Raw genomic sequence first — 14,828 nt, 5'->3', positions numbered from 1 at the left:
CCCTCCTTGGCTTCCCAAAGTGCTGGGATTACAGGCGTGAGCCAGTGCGCCAGGCCAGCAAAGGCCCCTACTCTTAAAAAAATAAAAAGAAAGAAAGAAAGAAAGCAAAAGAGGCTGGCGAGGTGGCTCATGCCTGTAATCCCAGCACTTTGGGAGGCCAAGGTGGGCAGATCACCTGAGGTCAGGGGTTTGAGACCAGCTTCGCCAACATGGTGAAAACCCGTCTCTACTAGAATACAAAAATTAGCCGGGCGTGGTGGCTTGCTCCTGTAATCCCAGCTACTCGGGAGGCTGAGGCAGGAGAATCACTTGAACCTGGGAGGCGGAGGTTGCAGTGAACTGAGATCGTGCCACTGCATTCTAGCCTGGGTGACAGAGCTAGACTCCATCTCCAAAAAAAAAGAAAAAAAGAAAAAGTGAGGCCTGGTGGTGTGTGCCTATAGTCCCAACCACTAAGAAAGCTGAAGCAAGAGGATCACTTGAGCCTGGGAGTTGGAGGCTACAGTGAGCCATGATTGTGCCACTGTACTCCAGCAGGGGCAACCAAGTGAGACCTTGACTCTTTTTTTTTTTTTTTTTTTGACACGGACTTTCACTCTTGTGGCCCAGTCTGGAGTGCAATCATGTGATCTTGGCTCACCTCAACCTCCACCTCCCAGGTTCAAGCGATTCTCCTGCCTCAGCCTTCTGAGTAGCTGGGATTACAGGCGTCTGCCACCACGCCTGGCTAATTTTGTATTTTTAGTAGAGATGAGGTTTCTCCATGTTGGTCAGGCTGGTCTCAAACTCCCGACCTCAGGTGATCCGCCTACCTCAGCCTCCCAAAGTTCTGGGATTACAGGCGTGAGCCACCACTCCTAGCGACCTTGCCTCTTAAAAAAAGTAAATACATGTGAACCCTAGAAAAGGGCTGTGTTGGCATTAAAAACACTTGAGGAACTCCTTTAAATGCACATGGCACAGAGGCAGTTTTTAGCCTGGAATGGATGACATTTAGGGAGACACTGAAGCAACTCAGGGTGCAGGCATGTGGGAGAATAGAGCTAACCATCATGGAGCTTCTCACTGTCAGGCATTACTTACCTCCGTCACCTCATTTGACCTCCCAGCCATGCCCTGGCATTAACTGCATTTTGCCCGTGAGAAAACAGGCTCTGAGAAGTTTGTAATTTGCTCTGGGTCACCACAGCATCCAGTTCCAGTTCTGCTTGGCTCAGTCCCAAGGACAGTATGAAGCATACAGGATGTGAGGTGAGCTGCAGGTGCTATGAACAAAGGAATTTAAGAGAAGAATGCTGCTAGCAGAGCAGTAGGGGAAGGAATGAAACTGATTTTAGAGCAGGTCTGTGCCAGCAGCAGTCATGTACCCATGAAGATGTTAGAGGCTCAATTGGTATATAGTTTGGCTGGGGTGGAAATTTAAGATTTTAGAGAAAAAAGGAAAGCCATGAATGATGTAAGGGAGAAAAGGCAGATTTGTTGACAGGATTTTCTTGAAAAACAGGGAAGTTGTAATTCATTTGAATATACTTAACAAGAAAGAAGGAATAATAAAAGATTTGTCGTCATCCAGGTATTGGTCTGTTTTGAAAGTTTTCTCTCTCACCTTTTTTTGGTATTGTCTTGGTGTCCAGATGCCCTTGGAAATCACCCGTAGCTTTATCCAGAACCGAGATGGGACTTATGAGCTATTTAAATGCCCTAAAGTGGAAGTAGAAAGCATAGCAGAAACCTACGGTCGTATAGAAAAACAACCAGTGCTGCGACCCTTGGAACTAAAAACTTTTCTCAAAGTTGGTAAGTGAACTTCAAAACTGCATCTTCCTTTGAGTGTCAGCTGGTGAACAGTACAGTACACTGTCCAAAGCTTTGGATCTTGACCTTAAACAAAGAAGACACATTCATTCACCTTGTAAAGGCAATCGTGGGATAAGGTATTTTGTTTCAATTGAACCAGTGTTTTCAAAAATAAAATTACAGGCCAGGTGCTGTGGCTCACACCTATAATCCCAGCACTTTGGGAGGCCAAGACAGGTGGATTGCTTGACGTTAGGAGTTTTGAGACCAGCCTGGCCAACATGGTGAAACCCAGTCTCTACTATAAAAATACAAAACTTAGCCAGGCATAGTGGCGCATGCCTGTAGTCCCAGCTACTCGAGAGGCTGAGGCACAAGAATCGCTTGAACCCAGGAGGCAGAGGTTACAGTGAGCCGAGATCTCACCACTGCACTCCAGCCTGGGCGGCAGAGTGAGACTCAGCCTCAAAAAAAGAAAAAAAAAAAAAAAAGACTTGCTGAATGAATAAATGCATGCCAGCCATAGTTTTAACTAATTTAGCTTTGTGATCTATCTGGTGGCCTCCCTTTGTTTCTTCAGTTTTGTATTTATTCTTCCAGAAGAAATTTAGAATTTATAATTATTCTGTCAAATTCTTGTGAATATTATTTTTTTGCTGCTCTTGTGAATGAAATATCTATCCTGATTCTAACTTGTTATTTCCAGTTATGGAAATCTCTTAGTTTTAATATACTTAATATTAAATTGGTACCCTTGATGAAGTCCCAGTAGTGATAATAGTAAATGAAAGCTGGGCACAGTGGCTTATGCCTGTAATCCCAGAGCTTTGGGGGCTGAGGCAGCAGGATCGCTTCAGGCCATGAATTCAAGACCAGCCTGGGCAATATAGCAAGACCCCCACTTTACTAAAAGAAGAAAAATTAAAATCTCTTCTAAGTCTGTTTTAGACTGTACTTGAATTTCATCTGCTTTATGGTGTTTTCCAAATCAGGTAACTGGCTTTTTTCAGTTCTAAATTTTTTTTTTTTTTTTGGAGAGGGAGTCTCGCTCTGTCACCAGGCTGGATAGAGTGCAGTGGCATGATCTTGGCTCACCACAACCTCTGCCTCCCGGATTCAAGCGATTCCCCTGCCTCAGCCTCCCGAGTAGCTGGGATTACAGGCGCCCACCGTCACACCCAGCTAATTTTTTGTATTTTAGTAGAGACGGGGTTTCACCATGTTGCCCAGGCTGGTCTCGAACTCCTGAGCTCAGGCAATCTGCCCACCTCGGCCCCCCAAAGTGCTAGGACTACAGGTGTGAGCCACCAGGCCGGGCCCTAAATTTGCTTTAAATTATTTCCTTCTTTTGTCTACAATAATTTCTCTTTTAAAATTTTCCTAATATTTTCTTGGAACTGTTTTATTTTTGTAGCTTTTAAAAGGAATACTCCGCCGAGGGCCGGGCACGGTGGCTCACGCCTGTAATCCCAGCACTTTGGGAGGCTGAGACAGGCGGATCACAAGGTCAGGAGATCGAGACCATCCTGGCTAACATGGTGAAACCCCATCTCTACTAAAATACAAAAAATTAGCTGGGCGCGGTGGCGGGAGGCTGAGGCAGGAGAATGGTGTGAACCCAGGATGCAGAGCTTGCAGTGAGCCGAGATCGCGCCACTGCACTCCATGCACTCCAGCCTGGGCAACAGAGCAAGACTCCGTCTCAAAAAAAAAAAAAAAAAAAAGGAATACTCGGCCGAGCGCGGTGGCTCATGCCTGTAATCCCAGCACTTTGGGAGGCCTAGGCAAGTGGATTACTTGAGGCCAGGAGTTCCAACCAGCCTGGCCAACATGGTGAAACCCCATCTCTACTAAAAATACAAAAATTAGCCAGGCGTGGCCGGGCGTGGTGACTCATGCCTATAATTCCAGCACTTTGGGAGGCTGAGGCGGGCAGATCACGAGGTCAGGAGATCAAGGCCATCCTGGCCAACATGGTGAAACCCCATCTCTACTAAAATGCAAAACATTAGCTGGGTGTGGTGGTGTGTGCCTGTAGTCACAGCTACTCGGGAGGCTGAGGTAGGGGAATTGCTTGAACCCAGGAGGTGGAGGTTGCAGTGAGCCGAGATCGTGCCATTGCACTTCAGCCTGGGCGAGAGGGCCAGACTCTGTCTCAAAAACAAACAAACAAACAAATAAATAAATAAATAAATAAATAATAAAAGGAATATGCAATTTTTTAAATTAATGTTTGATAACATTTAAAGTTATTATCTGAATCATCTATAATTATAATTTAGTTTCTCCCTGTCCTCAGTACCTTGTATTTAAAATTTCAAATTAGTTGAGGCTTTTAATCTTCATATTCTTAGTTTCCAATTTCTAGTTTTATTATTTTGAGGTCAGAAGATGTATCTTTAATTTCTTTCTTTTTTTTTTTTTTTGAGACCGAGTCTCACTCTGTCGCTCAGGCTGGAGTGCAGCAGTGCGATCCTGGCTCACTACACCCTCCATCTCCCAGGTTTAAGCAATTCTCCTGCCTCAGCCTCCTGAGTAGCTGGGATTACAGGCGCATGCCAGCATGCCCAGCTAATTTTTGTATATTTAGTGAGACAGGGTTTACCATGTTAACCAGGCTGATGTCGAACTCTGGACGTCTGGTGATCCGCCCACCTCGGCCTCCCAAAGTGCTGGGATTATAGACGTGAGCCACCAAGCCCGGCCTTAATTTCTTTCTTTTTAGGAATTTTAAAATGTTTTTTCACTAACAATATATGATATGAATTTGTGCTAGCATAGATGTTATTTATCCAATATAAACTCGTATATAGTTTTTGTTTGTTTTTCAGATACAGTCTTGCTCTGTCACCCAGGCGGGAGTGCAGTGGCACGATCTCGGCTCACTGCAACCTCCGCCTCCCGGGTTCAAGTGATTCTCCTGCCTCAGCCTCCTGAGTAGCTCAGATTACAGGCGTATGCCACCACACCCTGCTAATTTTTGTATTTTTAGTAGATATGGGGTTTCGCCATGTTGGCCAGGCTGGTCTCGAATTTCTAACCTCAGATGATCCGCCCACCTTGGCCTCCCAAAGTTCTGGGATTACAGGCGTGAGCCACCGCGCCCAGCTATATATAGCTTTTTCATTTTATTTTGGTGGTTTTTTGTTTGTTTGTTTGTTTGTTTGTTTTGAGACGGGAGTCTCGCTGTCGCCCAGGCTGGAGTGCAGTGGTGCGATCTCGGCTCACTGCAGGCTCCGCCCCCTGGGGTTCACGCCATTCTCTTGCCTCAGCCTCCTGAGTAGCTGGGACTACAGAGGCCCGCCACCTCGCCCGGCTAATTTTTTGTATTTTTAGTAGAGACGGGGTTTCACCATGTTAGCCAGGATGGTCTCGATCTCCTGACCTCGTGATCCATCCACCTCGGCCGCCCAAAGTGCTGGGATTACAGGCGTGAGCCACCGCACCCGGCCTTATTTTGGTGTTTAAGTCCTCTTTGTTATCTCTTTGACCTGCCAAAGACTAGAAGAGTCATTTTACCATTTGCTTCTAAAATTATGTTTCCCTGAATGACTTCTTATATTTCTAAAAGCCTTTAATTATTTTAAATGCAGTGTTGTTGGTACATCAGAGTTATTGCCAGATGTTGTTAACGTAAATTGTATGTTATCAATGTAAAAATAACTTTGCCCTAAATTCTTTGTCCAGTATTACAACAGTGACACCAGCTTTCTTTTGTTTTTTATTCTTTTAATTTTTTAAATTTTACTCTTTTTTTTTTTTTGAGATAGGGTCTTGCCCTGTTACCCAAGCTGGAGTGCAGTGGCACAATCACGGCTCACTGCAGCCTCAAACTCCTGGGCTCAAGCGATCCTCCCACCTCAGCCTCCTGAGTAGCTGGGACTACAGGCATGTGCCACCATTCCCAGCTAATTTCTTTTTATTTTTAGTAGGGACGAGGTCTTACTCTGTTGCCCACGCTGGTCTTGAACTCCTGGGTTCAAGCAGTCCTCGTGCCTCAGCCTCCCAAAGTGCTGAGATTACAGGCATAAGCCACCATGCCTGGCCTGTTTTTTATTTTTTTTAATATGTTCGCCATCCATTTAGTTTTAACTTTTTTGTGACACTGTTTTAATGGAATCTTTTTTCAGAGACAGGGTCTTGCCATGTTGCTCAGGCTGGAGTGCAATGGCTATTTCCAGGTGTGATCATAGTGCACTACAGCCTTGAACTCCTGGGTTCAAGTGATCCTTCCACTCTGCCTCCCAAGGAGGTGGGACTACAGGCACACACCACCAGGCCCAACTTAGATGAATCTCTTATCAACATTATATACTTGGTTTTGAGTTTTTCTAATTTTAATGGTCTATCCTCTTTATATTTATTATAATTTATATAGTTGGTCTTTTGTCTTATTTTTTGCTAAATGGACTACGTTCTCTGTCTTGTCTTCATAGTTTTTGAAGGTGATACCATATTCTTTTTTTTTTGAGACGGAGTTTCACTCTTATTGCCTAGGCTGGAGTGCAATGGGGCAATCTCGGCTCACCGCAACCTCCGCCTCCCGGGTTCAAGAGATTGTTCTGCCTCAGCCTCCCAAACAGCTGGGATTACAGGCATGTGCCACCATGCCCAGCTAATTTTGTATTTTTAGTAGAGATGGGGTTTCTCCACATTGGTCAGACTGGTCTTGAATTCCCAACCTCAGGTGATCTGCCCGCCTCAGCCTCCCAAAGTGCTGGGATTATAGGCATGAGCCACTGCACTCGGCCAGTGATACCATATTCTTAGTTTAGTTCTGCTAGTGTTTAATTTTGTATTTTTCTTTTTTTTTTTCTTTTTTTTTGAGATGGAGTCTCACTCTGTCACCCAGGCTGGAGTGCAGTGGCGCAATCTCGGCTCACTGCAACCTCCGCCTCCCAGGTTCACGCCATTCTCCTGCCTCAGCCTCCCGAGTAGCTGGGACTACAGGCACCCGCCACCACGCCTGGCTAATTTTTTGTATTTTTAGTAGAGATGGGGTTTCACCATATTGGTCAGGCTGGTCTCGAACTCCTGACCTCAGGTGATCCACCCGCTTTGGCCTCCCAAAGTGCTGGGATTACAGGCATGAGCCACCACACCCGGCCTAATTTTGTATTTTTCAAAAGTATTCTTTAACCTTCTATGTTTAAATCTTTGATCTGACAGAGCACAGCAGCTCACACCTATAATCCCAGCACTTTGGGAGGCTGGGGTTGGAGGATAGCTTGAGCCCAGGAGTTTGAGACCAGCCTGAGCAACACAAGGAGACCCCATCTCTATAAAAGAATTTTTAAAATTAGCCAGGGGCTCCTCTGCCTATGAAGTAGCCATTCTTTATTCCTTTACCTTCTTTTTACCTTCTTTTTATTTTTTATTTTTTTAGATGGAGTCTTGCTCTGACACCAGGCTGGAGTGCAGTGGTGCGATCTTGCTCACTGCAACCTCCACCTCCCAGGTTCAAGCAATTCTTCTGCCTCAGCCTCCTTAGTAGCTGGGACTACAGGCCTGTGCCATCATGCCCAGCTAATTTTTGTATTTTTAGTAGAGACGGGGTTTCACCATGTTGGCCAGGATGGTCTTGATCTCTTGACCTTGTGATCTGCCCGCCTTGGCCTCCCAAAGTGCTGGATTACAGGCGTGAGCCACCATGCCCGGCCTCCTTTACTTTCTTAATAAACTTACTTTCAAAAAAAAAAAAATTAGCCAGGAATGGTGGTACATGCCTGTGGTCCCAGCTACTTTGGAGGCTGAGGTGGGAGGATCGCTTGGGCCCTGGAGGTCGAGGCTGCAGTGAGCCATGATTGTGTCACTACGCTCCAGCCTAGGTGACAGAGCAAGACCTTGTCTCAAACAAAACAAAACAAAACAAAACAAAAAACTTTGATTCTCTGGAATTTATCATGATGTAAGTTAGGTAAGTTATAGGTAAGATTCTACCACCTTTTATTTTCTTCCAGATGGATATCTGGTTGATACAAACCATTTATTAGAAGAAACACTTATTTGTTCTTCTTTTAGTAGTTACAAATGCCATCTTTATCTTAGGCTAAATTCCTGTTGTATTTGTGTCTATTTCTAATCTTTCTGTTTTCTTCCTTTAATCTGTCTAGATGCATGCTAGTACCACACTCTTTGGGTTATTACGGGTTTATAATATATTTTAGAACCATGTCAGATTTTTTTTTTTTTTTTTTTTTTTTTTTTTTTAGTAAAAATTTCTTACAGAGATGGGGGTCTTACTATGTTGCCCAGGCTGGTCTTGAACTCCTGACCTCAAGTGATCCTCCACCCTGATCCTCTCAAAGTGCTGGGATTACAGGCATGAGCCACTGTGCCCAGCTGACCATGTAGATTTTAATTCTATTCTTTGTGATTCTTGAAATTTGGCCTTTTCTTGTTCGTCTTCCTTTTACTCTCATCCAGCTGCCTTTTCCTCCCAGTCTGAGCTCTCCTTAATGATTCTGGCCTTACTTTCATAAAGGCTGGATCTTATTTTTTTTCTTTTGTGGATGCTAAACAGTTCCCTGAAATTTCTGTGTTTTTTTTTTTGTTTGTTTGTTTGTTTTTTTGAGACAGAGTCTTGCTCTGTCACCCAGGCTGGAGTGCAGTGGCGCGATCTCGGCTCACTGCAACCTCCACCTCCCGGGTTCAAGCGATTCTCCTGCCTCAGCCTCCCGAGTAGCTGGGATTAGCCCGCCACCACGCCCAGCTAATTTTTGTATTTTTAGTAAAGACGGGGTTTCACCACATTGGCCAGGCTGGTCTCGAACTCCTGACCTCGTGATCCACCCGCCTCGGCCTCCCAAAATGCTGGGATTACAGGCATGAGCCACCGCGCCCGGCCGTTTAAATTTTCTTTTGGATAGATATATCAGTCATTGCTTTCCCTTCCTTTGATTCTTCTAGCTGTTTACTCCCTTTTCCTTATGTAGTTTTTTTTTTTTTTAATTTCCTGTTCTTTTCTTTACTTATTACTGAACAGATTAAGATCTGTCCAGACTTTGGGAGGCCAAGGCGGGTGGATCACGAGGTCAGGAGATCGAGACCATCCTGGCTAACATGGTGAAACCCCATCTCTACTAAAAATACAAAAAAATTAGCTGGGCGTGGTGGCGGGCGCCTGTAGTCCCAGCTACTCAGGAGGCTGAGGCAGGAGAATGGCATGAACCTGGGAGGCAGAGCTTGCAGTGAGCCGAGATCGCACCACTACAGCCTGGCGACAGAGCAAAACTCTGTCTCAAAAAAAAAAAAAAAAAGATCTGTCCAGACTCAAATTCTGGTAACAGGCAGGTTGCTTGGGACCACTCCTGCATGATGGCTGGCTCCCTCTCAGATCTGTATGTGGAGCGCTGATGCAGAGTTCTCAGATCTAATGTTTCTCTTTCCTACCACAGTGGCATCTCCTGACCATCTCTGCCTCCTTCATTGCTAATAATGGAATATAGGAAAAAAACACACAAAACTAAGATTCCCCGCATATATAGTTTTCAAGGGTTTCTCCTCCTTCTCACACCCAAATTGCTTTACTAGTGCAGACTGTACCTTCCAGAACACACTCTGCCACTGCTATTCACTTTTTTTTTTTTTTTGAGATGGAGTCTTGCTCTGTTGCCTAGGCTGGAGTGCAGTGGTGCGATCTTGGCTCACTGCAACCCCTGCCTCCCAGGTTCAAGCAATTCTTTTATCTCAGCCTTCTGAGTAGCTGGGATTACAGGGGCGTGCCACCACGCCTGGCTAATTTTTGTATTTTTAGTAGAGACGGAGTTTCACCATCTTGATCAGGCTGGTCTCGAACTCCTGACCTCATGATCTGCCCGGCTTGGCCTCCCAAAGTGCTGGGTTTACAGACGTGAGCGACTGCACCTGGCCCTGCTATTCACCTTAAATGCACCTACTCTCCTCCAAGTCCCCTTTGCAGTCATCAAGAATTCAGGTACATGAGTGGGGAGGGGTGTGTGTGAGATGTTCTAAAGGAAACGAAGTGGCGCTGCTCATTTGCTGCTCTGTACAAGTACTAGCCAGGGCACAAACAGTGAGAGAGACAAAGTATTTTCCTGCCTTTTTCCATGTAGCCTCCCTTTATGAAGGAAAGATGGGATATGCTATGGCCAAAGTCTGGGTAGGTTTCTTTCCATCCATCTCCACCTGTTTTATATTTCCTCCCAGAAGCTGCCAGTAGTCTTAGTGTTCATCAGTTGTAAGTTTTTATCTTTTTCTATGTCTTCATTGATATTTAAGTGAAAAGTTGGCAGCAGCTCCAGATATCATTTGAAATGGAAGCTAGAATGTCTGTGACAAACATGAACTAGATAATACCTAACATTTATATTCTATGACTAAAAGAAACCAAACAGACCAAAATACCCTGCCAATGAAGTTGTTAGTCTGGGGTGGGTGGATGGATGCTTTGTTTCTCATCATATCAGTGATGTCTTAGTCTTTGTGAGAAAGGACCAAAAGAAGTAGAGGGAAGGAATTTAAAAGGGGTGACTATTTAGGCTAAAGTGGAGGGAGAGTAACATAGTGAAGTTAAAAGTAAAATATAAGCCAGGCGCAGTGGCTCACGCCTGTAATCCCCACACTCTGGGAGGCTGAGGTGGGAGGATCATCAGAGGTCAGGAGTTCGAGACCAGCCTGGCCAACCTGCTGAAACCCTGTCTCTACTAAAAATACAAAAATTAGCTGGACATGGTGGTGCGTGCCTGTAGTCCCAGCTACTTGGAAGGCTGGAGAATCACCTGAACCCAGGAGGTGGAGGTTGCAGTGAACCGAGATTGCAACACTGCACTCCAGCCTGGGCAACAGAGCAATACTCCATCTCAAAAAACAAACAAACAAACAAAAAAGTAAAATATTAGCTTATGAAGTCAAAGATTTAGTAGTGCTGAGAGAAAAATGTATATACATTGTTAATTTTTATAATATAAAAATGTATATACATTAATTAATCCATCCTTCTTGTTTTTTTATTTTTTGGGGGTGTTTTTTGAGGCGGAGTCTCACTCTGTTGCCCAGGGTGGAGTGAAGTGGTGCGATCTTGGCTCACTGAAGCCTCCACCTCCTGGGTTCAGGCGATTCTTCTGCCTTAGCCTCCCGAGTAACTGGGATTACAGGAGCATGCTACCACACCTGGATAATCTTTGTATTTTTAGTAGAGACGGTTTTGCCGTGTTGGTCAGGCTGGTCTCAAACTCCTGACCTCAAGTGATCCGCCCACCTCAGCCTCCCACAGTGCTGGAATTACAGGTGTAAGCCACTGTCCCTGGCCTATCCTTCTTGTTTTCTTGTATTACTTTGTTTTTTTGAGACAAAGTCTCACTGTATTGCCCAGGCTGGCATTGAACTACTGGGTTCAAGCAGTCCTCCCACCTCAGTCTCCCAAGTAGTTGGGACTATGGGCACATTTCACCACACCTGGCTAATTTAATTTTTTGTAGAGACAGGGTCTCACTTTGTTGCATAGGCTGGTCTTAAACTCCTGGCCTCAAGCTATCCTCTCGCCTTGCCCACCAACACTGTTGGGATTACAGGCATGAACTACCATGCCTGGCCTAAATATATATGTTTTAACTTCATGATGGCTGGGCGTGGTGGCTCACGCCTGTAATCCCAGCACTTGGGAGTCTGAGGTGGGCGGATCACAAGGTCAAGAGATTGAGCCATCCTGGCTAACACGATGAAACCCCATCTCTACTAAAAATACAAAAAATTAGCCAGGTGTGGTGGCACGTGCCTGTAATCCCAGCTACTCAGGAGGCTGAGGAAGGAGAATCGCTTGAACCCGGGAGGCAAAGGTTGCAGTGAACTGAGATTGCGCCACTGCACTCCAGCCTGGGTGCCAAAGCGAGACTCCGTCTCAAAAAAAACAAAATAACCCAAAAACTTCATGATGATCAATAAATCTGATATCCCAATCACCACTGAATTTATAAACCTCATTCGGCCTTCTGATTATCAAAGCTGAACAGGCTGCTCCAATTCCGGACACTTTTTTTGCAATTAGGAACACCCATTAGAGTTAGGTGGAATTGTACTAATACTCCTTTCTTCTCTTTAGGCAACACTTCCCCAGATCAAAAGGAGCCAACACCTTTCATCATCGAGTGGATCCCAGATATCCTTCCCCAATCTAAGATTGGCGAGCTGCGGATCAAGTTTGAGTATGGCCACCACCGGAATGGGCATGTGGCGGAGTACCAAGACCAGCGGCCCCCCTTGGACCAGCCCTTGGAACTGGCCCCTCTGACCACTATTACTTTCCCTTAAAGCAAAACAAGATAATAATCTTTTGCTGCTTAATTTGCACATCCCCACCCCTTGACAACTTTAAATGCTAGTTAGGCACTTAGATGGCCCTGTTCCTTGGTAAACTGCTCTTAGCTAAGATGCAAATTCTCAGTGCTTTCAAGTGGATTCTGTTGAAGAAAATCTCTTGTAAATAGCCTTTTTGATGCTGCTGTGTACAGTCTTCATTATGCATTGGGCAGTATTTCTGGCTAGAGTTTTAAAAGGAACAGAAAGAAAACCAGCTTATTTTCCTTCTTACGGACTCATCTTTAGCGTTTATTTCAACCTTTTGCTAATTCTCTGAGAAATCTGCAGCACTCAGCCATACACCAACAGTGTTGGAAAGTTAACACCCTGGTTAGGGCAGAATGTTAAAGACCATCTTGGCAGAGTTCCAGCCACGCTCTTTATTCTGTTCTCAAATAAAGCAGTGTCACTAGTTTTTCCTAATTATATCTCATGGTTGCCTGTTTATAAAATTATAAATTTCGGGGGGGGGAGGCGGGATTTAACTGATAGTGATACTGGAAAAAGAGATCCAGGTGTGTCCGGAATTGGTGGGTTCTTGGTCTCACTGACTTCAAGAATGAAGCCGCGGACCCTCGCGGTGAGTGTTACAGCTGTTAAGGTGGCGCGTCTGGTGTCTGCCCCTTCTGATGTTCAGATGCGTTCGGAGTTTCTTCCTTCTGGTGGGTTCGTGGTCTTGCTGGCTCAGGAGTGAAGCTGCAGACCTTCGCGGTGAGTGTTACAGCTCTTAAGGCAGCGCGTCTGGAGTTGTTCATTCCTCCCGGTGGGCTCGTGGTCTCGCTGGGCTAAGGAGTGAAGCTGCAGATCTTCGCGGTGAGTGTTACAGCTCATAAAAGCAGCATGGACCCAAAGAGTGAGAGCAGTAGCAAGATTTATTGCAAAGAGCGAAAGAACAAAGCTTCCACAGTGTGGAAGGGGACCCGAGCGGGTTGTCAATGCTGGCTCTGGCAGCCTGCTTTTATGCTCTTATCTGGCCCCACCCACATCCTGCTGATTGGTAGAGCCGAGTGGCCTGTTTTGTCAGGGTGCTGATTGGTGCGTTTACAATCCTTGAGCTAGATACAAAGGTTCTCCACGTCCCCATCAGATTAGTTAGATACAGAGTTTCCACACACAGGTTCTCCAAGGCCCCACCATAGCAGCTAGATACAGAGTGTCGATTGGTGCACTCACAAACCTTGAGCTAAACACAGGGTGCTGATTGGTGTGTTTACAAACCTTGAGCTAGATACAGAGTGCCGACTGGTGTATTTACAATCCTTGAGCTAGACATAAAGGTTCTCCACATCCTCACCAGAGCAGCTAGATACGGAGTGTTGATTGGTGCACTCACAAACCTTGAGCTAAACACAGGGTGCTGATTGGTGTAGTTACAATCCCTGAGCTAGATATAAAGACTCTCCACGTCCCCACCAGAGCAGCTAGATACAGAGTGTCGACTGGTGCACTCACAAACCTTGAGCTAAACACAGGGTGCTGATTGGTGTATTTACAATCCCTGAGCTAGATATAAAGACTCCACATTCCCCCCCAGACTCAGGAGCCCAGCTGGCTTCACCCAGTGGATCCCACACTGGGGCTGCAGGTGGAGCTGCCTGCCAGTCCTGCGCCATGCGCTCACATTCCTCAGCCCTTGGGTGGTCGATGGGACTGGGCACTGTGGAGCAGGGGGTGGTGCTCGTCAGGGAGGCTCGGGCCGCACAGGAGCCCATGGAGTGGGTGGAAGGCTCAGGCATGGCGGGCCGCAGGTCCTAAGCCCTGCCCCGCAGGAAGGCAGCTAAGGCCCGGCGAAAAATCGAGCGCAGCGCTGGTGGGCCAGCACTGCTGGGGGACCCAGTACACCCTCCGCAGCCACTGACCCAGGTGCTAAGTGCCCCATTGCCCGGGGCCAGCAGGGCTGGCTGGCTGCTCCGAGTGCGGGGCCCACCAAGTCCCCGCCCACCGGGAACTCCAGCTGGCCCGCAAGCGCCGCACACAGCCCAGGTTCCCGCTCGTGCCTCTCCCTCCACACCTCCCAGCCTTGGCCAGCCCAGAAAGGGGCTCCCACAGTGCAGTGGGGGGCTGAAGGGCTCCTCAAATGCCACCAAAGTGGGAGCCCAGGCAGGGGAGGTGCCGAGAGCAAGCGAGGGCTCTGAGGACTGCCAGCACGCTGTCACCTCTCACAGGTATCAAGGGAATATTGCTGTTTAAAACTAATGCCTGTAATAGCTTGTTCACTTCATACTTGTATCTCTATATATTCTCAGTTAGTAAAATTCAATTGCTGTTTCTGATTGAATGATCACAGAATAGAGATACTGAAAGACCCAGAAGTATAAGCCTATCTTTAAGGAGGAAAGAAGGGAATGAACATTTCTTGCATGCCTACTATGTGCCAGGTACTTTCTTTGTTTTTGTTTGTTTTTTGAGATGGAGTCTCACTGTGTCGCCAGGCTGGAGTGTAGTGGCGTGATCTCGGCTCACTGCAACCTCCGCCTCCTGGGTTCAAGCGATTCTCCTGCCTCAGCCTCCCAAGTAGCTGAGACTACAGGCACCCGCCACTATTCCCAGCTAATTTTTTTTATTTTTTTTTTGTATTTTTAGTAGAGACGGGGTTTCACTATGTTGGCCAGGCTGGTCTTGAACTCCTGACCTCGTGATCTGCCCTCCTCGACCTCCCAAAGTGCTGGGATTACAGGCGTGAGCCACCACGCTCGGCCATACCAGGTACTTTG

General features: G+C 46.3%; 1 protein-coding gene across 15 annotated transcripts in view, besides 2 other annotated features; it reads left to right on the top strand.

The window, feature by feature from the left end:
- Window positions 1-12,537, top strand: part of C2orf42 (chromosome 2 open reading frame 42) — a 41,135-nt gene extending 28,598 nt beyond the window's left edge. For 12 of the 15 annotated variants that reach the window (NR_145967.2, NR_145969.2, NR_145971.2 and 9 more), the window contains 2 exons: window positions 1,635-1,797; window positions 11,858-12,537. Coding sequence is in view for 9 of the 15 variants with exons in the window: in NM_017880.3 (NP_060350.1) it covers window positions 1,635-1,797; window positions 11,858-12,066 (372 nt within the window). In the remaining 6 variants the exon portion in view is untranslated. Of the gene's footprint in view, window positions 1-1,634; window positions 1,798-9,553; window positions 9,734-11,857 lie in introns of all 15 variants that reach the window. The other 3 variants (NR_145968.2, NR_145970.2, NR_145972.2) reach the window with 2 other exon arrangements.
- Window positions 1,333-1,382: an enhancer, noted in NCBI's record as "active region_16001". NCBI's record gives its function as "activates an Ori minimal core promoter by ATAC-STARR-seq in GM12878 lymphoblastoid cells {active_cell/tissue: GM12878}" and the evidence as "EXISTENCE:reporter gene assay evidence [ECO:0000049][PMID:35858748]".
- Window positions 12,960-13,489: an enhancer, noted in NCBI's record as "H3K27ac-H3K4me1 hESC enhancer chr2:70376065-70376594 (GRCh37/hg19 assembly coordinates)". NCBI's record gives its function as "activates a minimal SCP1, AML or CMV promoter by ChIP-STARR-seq in primed H9 embryonic stem cells {active_cell/tissue: H9 hESC(primed)}" and the evidence as "EXISTENCE:reporter gene assay evidence [ECO:0000049][PMID:30033119]".

This window comes from Homo sapiens, chromosome 2 (assembly GCF_000001405.40).
Source record: "Homo sapiens chromosome 2, GRCh38.p14 Primary Assembly".
Classification (NCBI taxonomy): domain Eukaryota; kingdom Metazoa; phylum Chordata; class Mammalia; order Primates; family Hominidae; genus Homo; species Homo sapiens.
The sequence above is the reverse complement of the archived record's forward strand: the minus strand, read 5'-3'. Positions and strand labels throughout refer to the sequence as shown.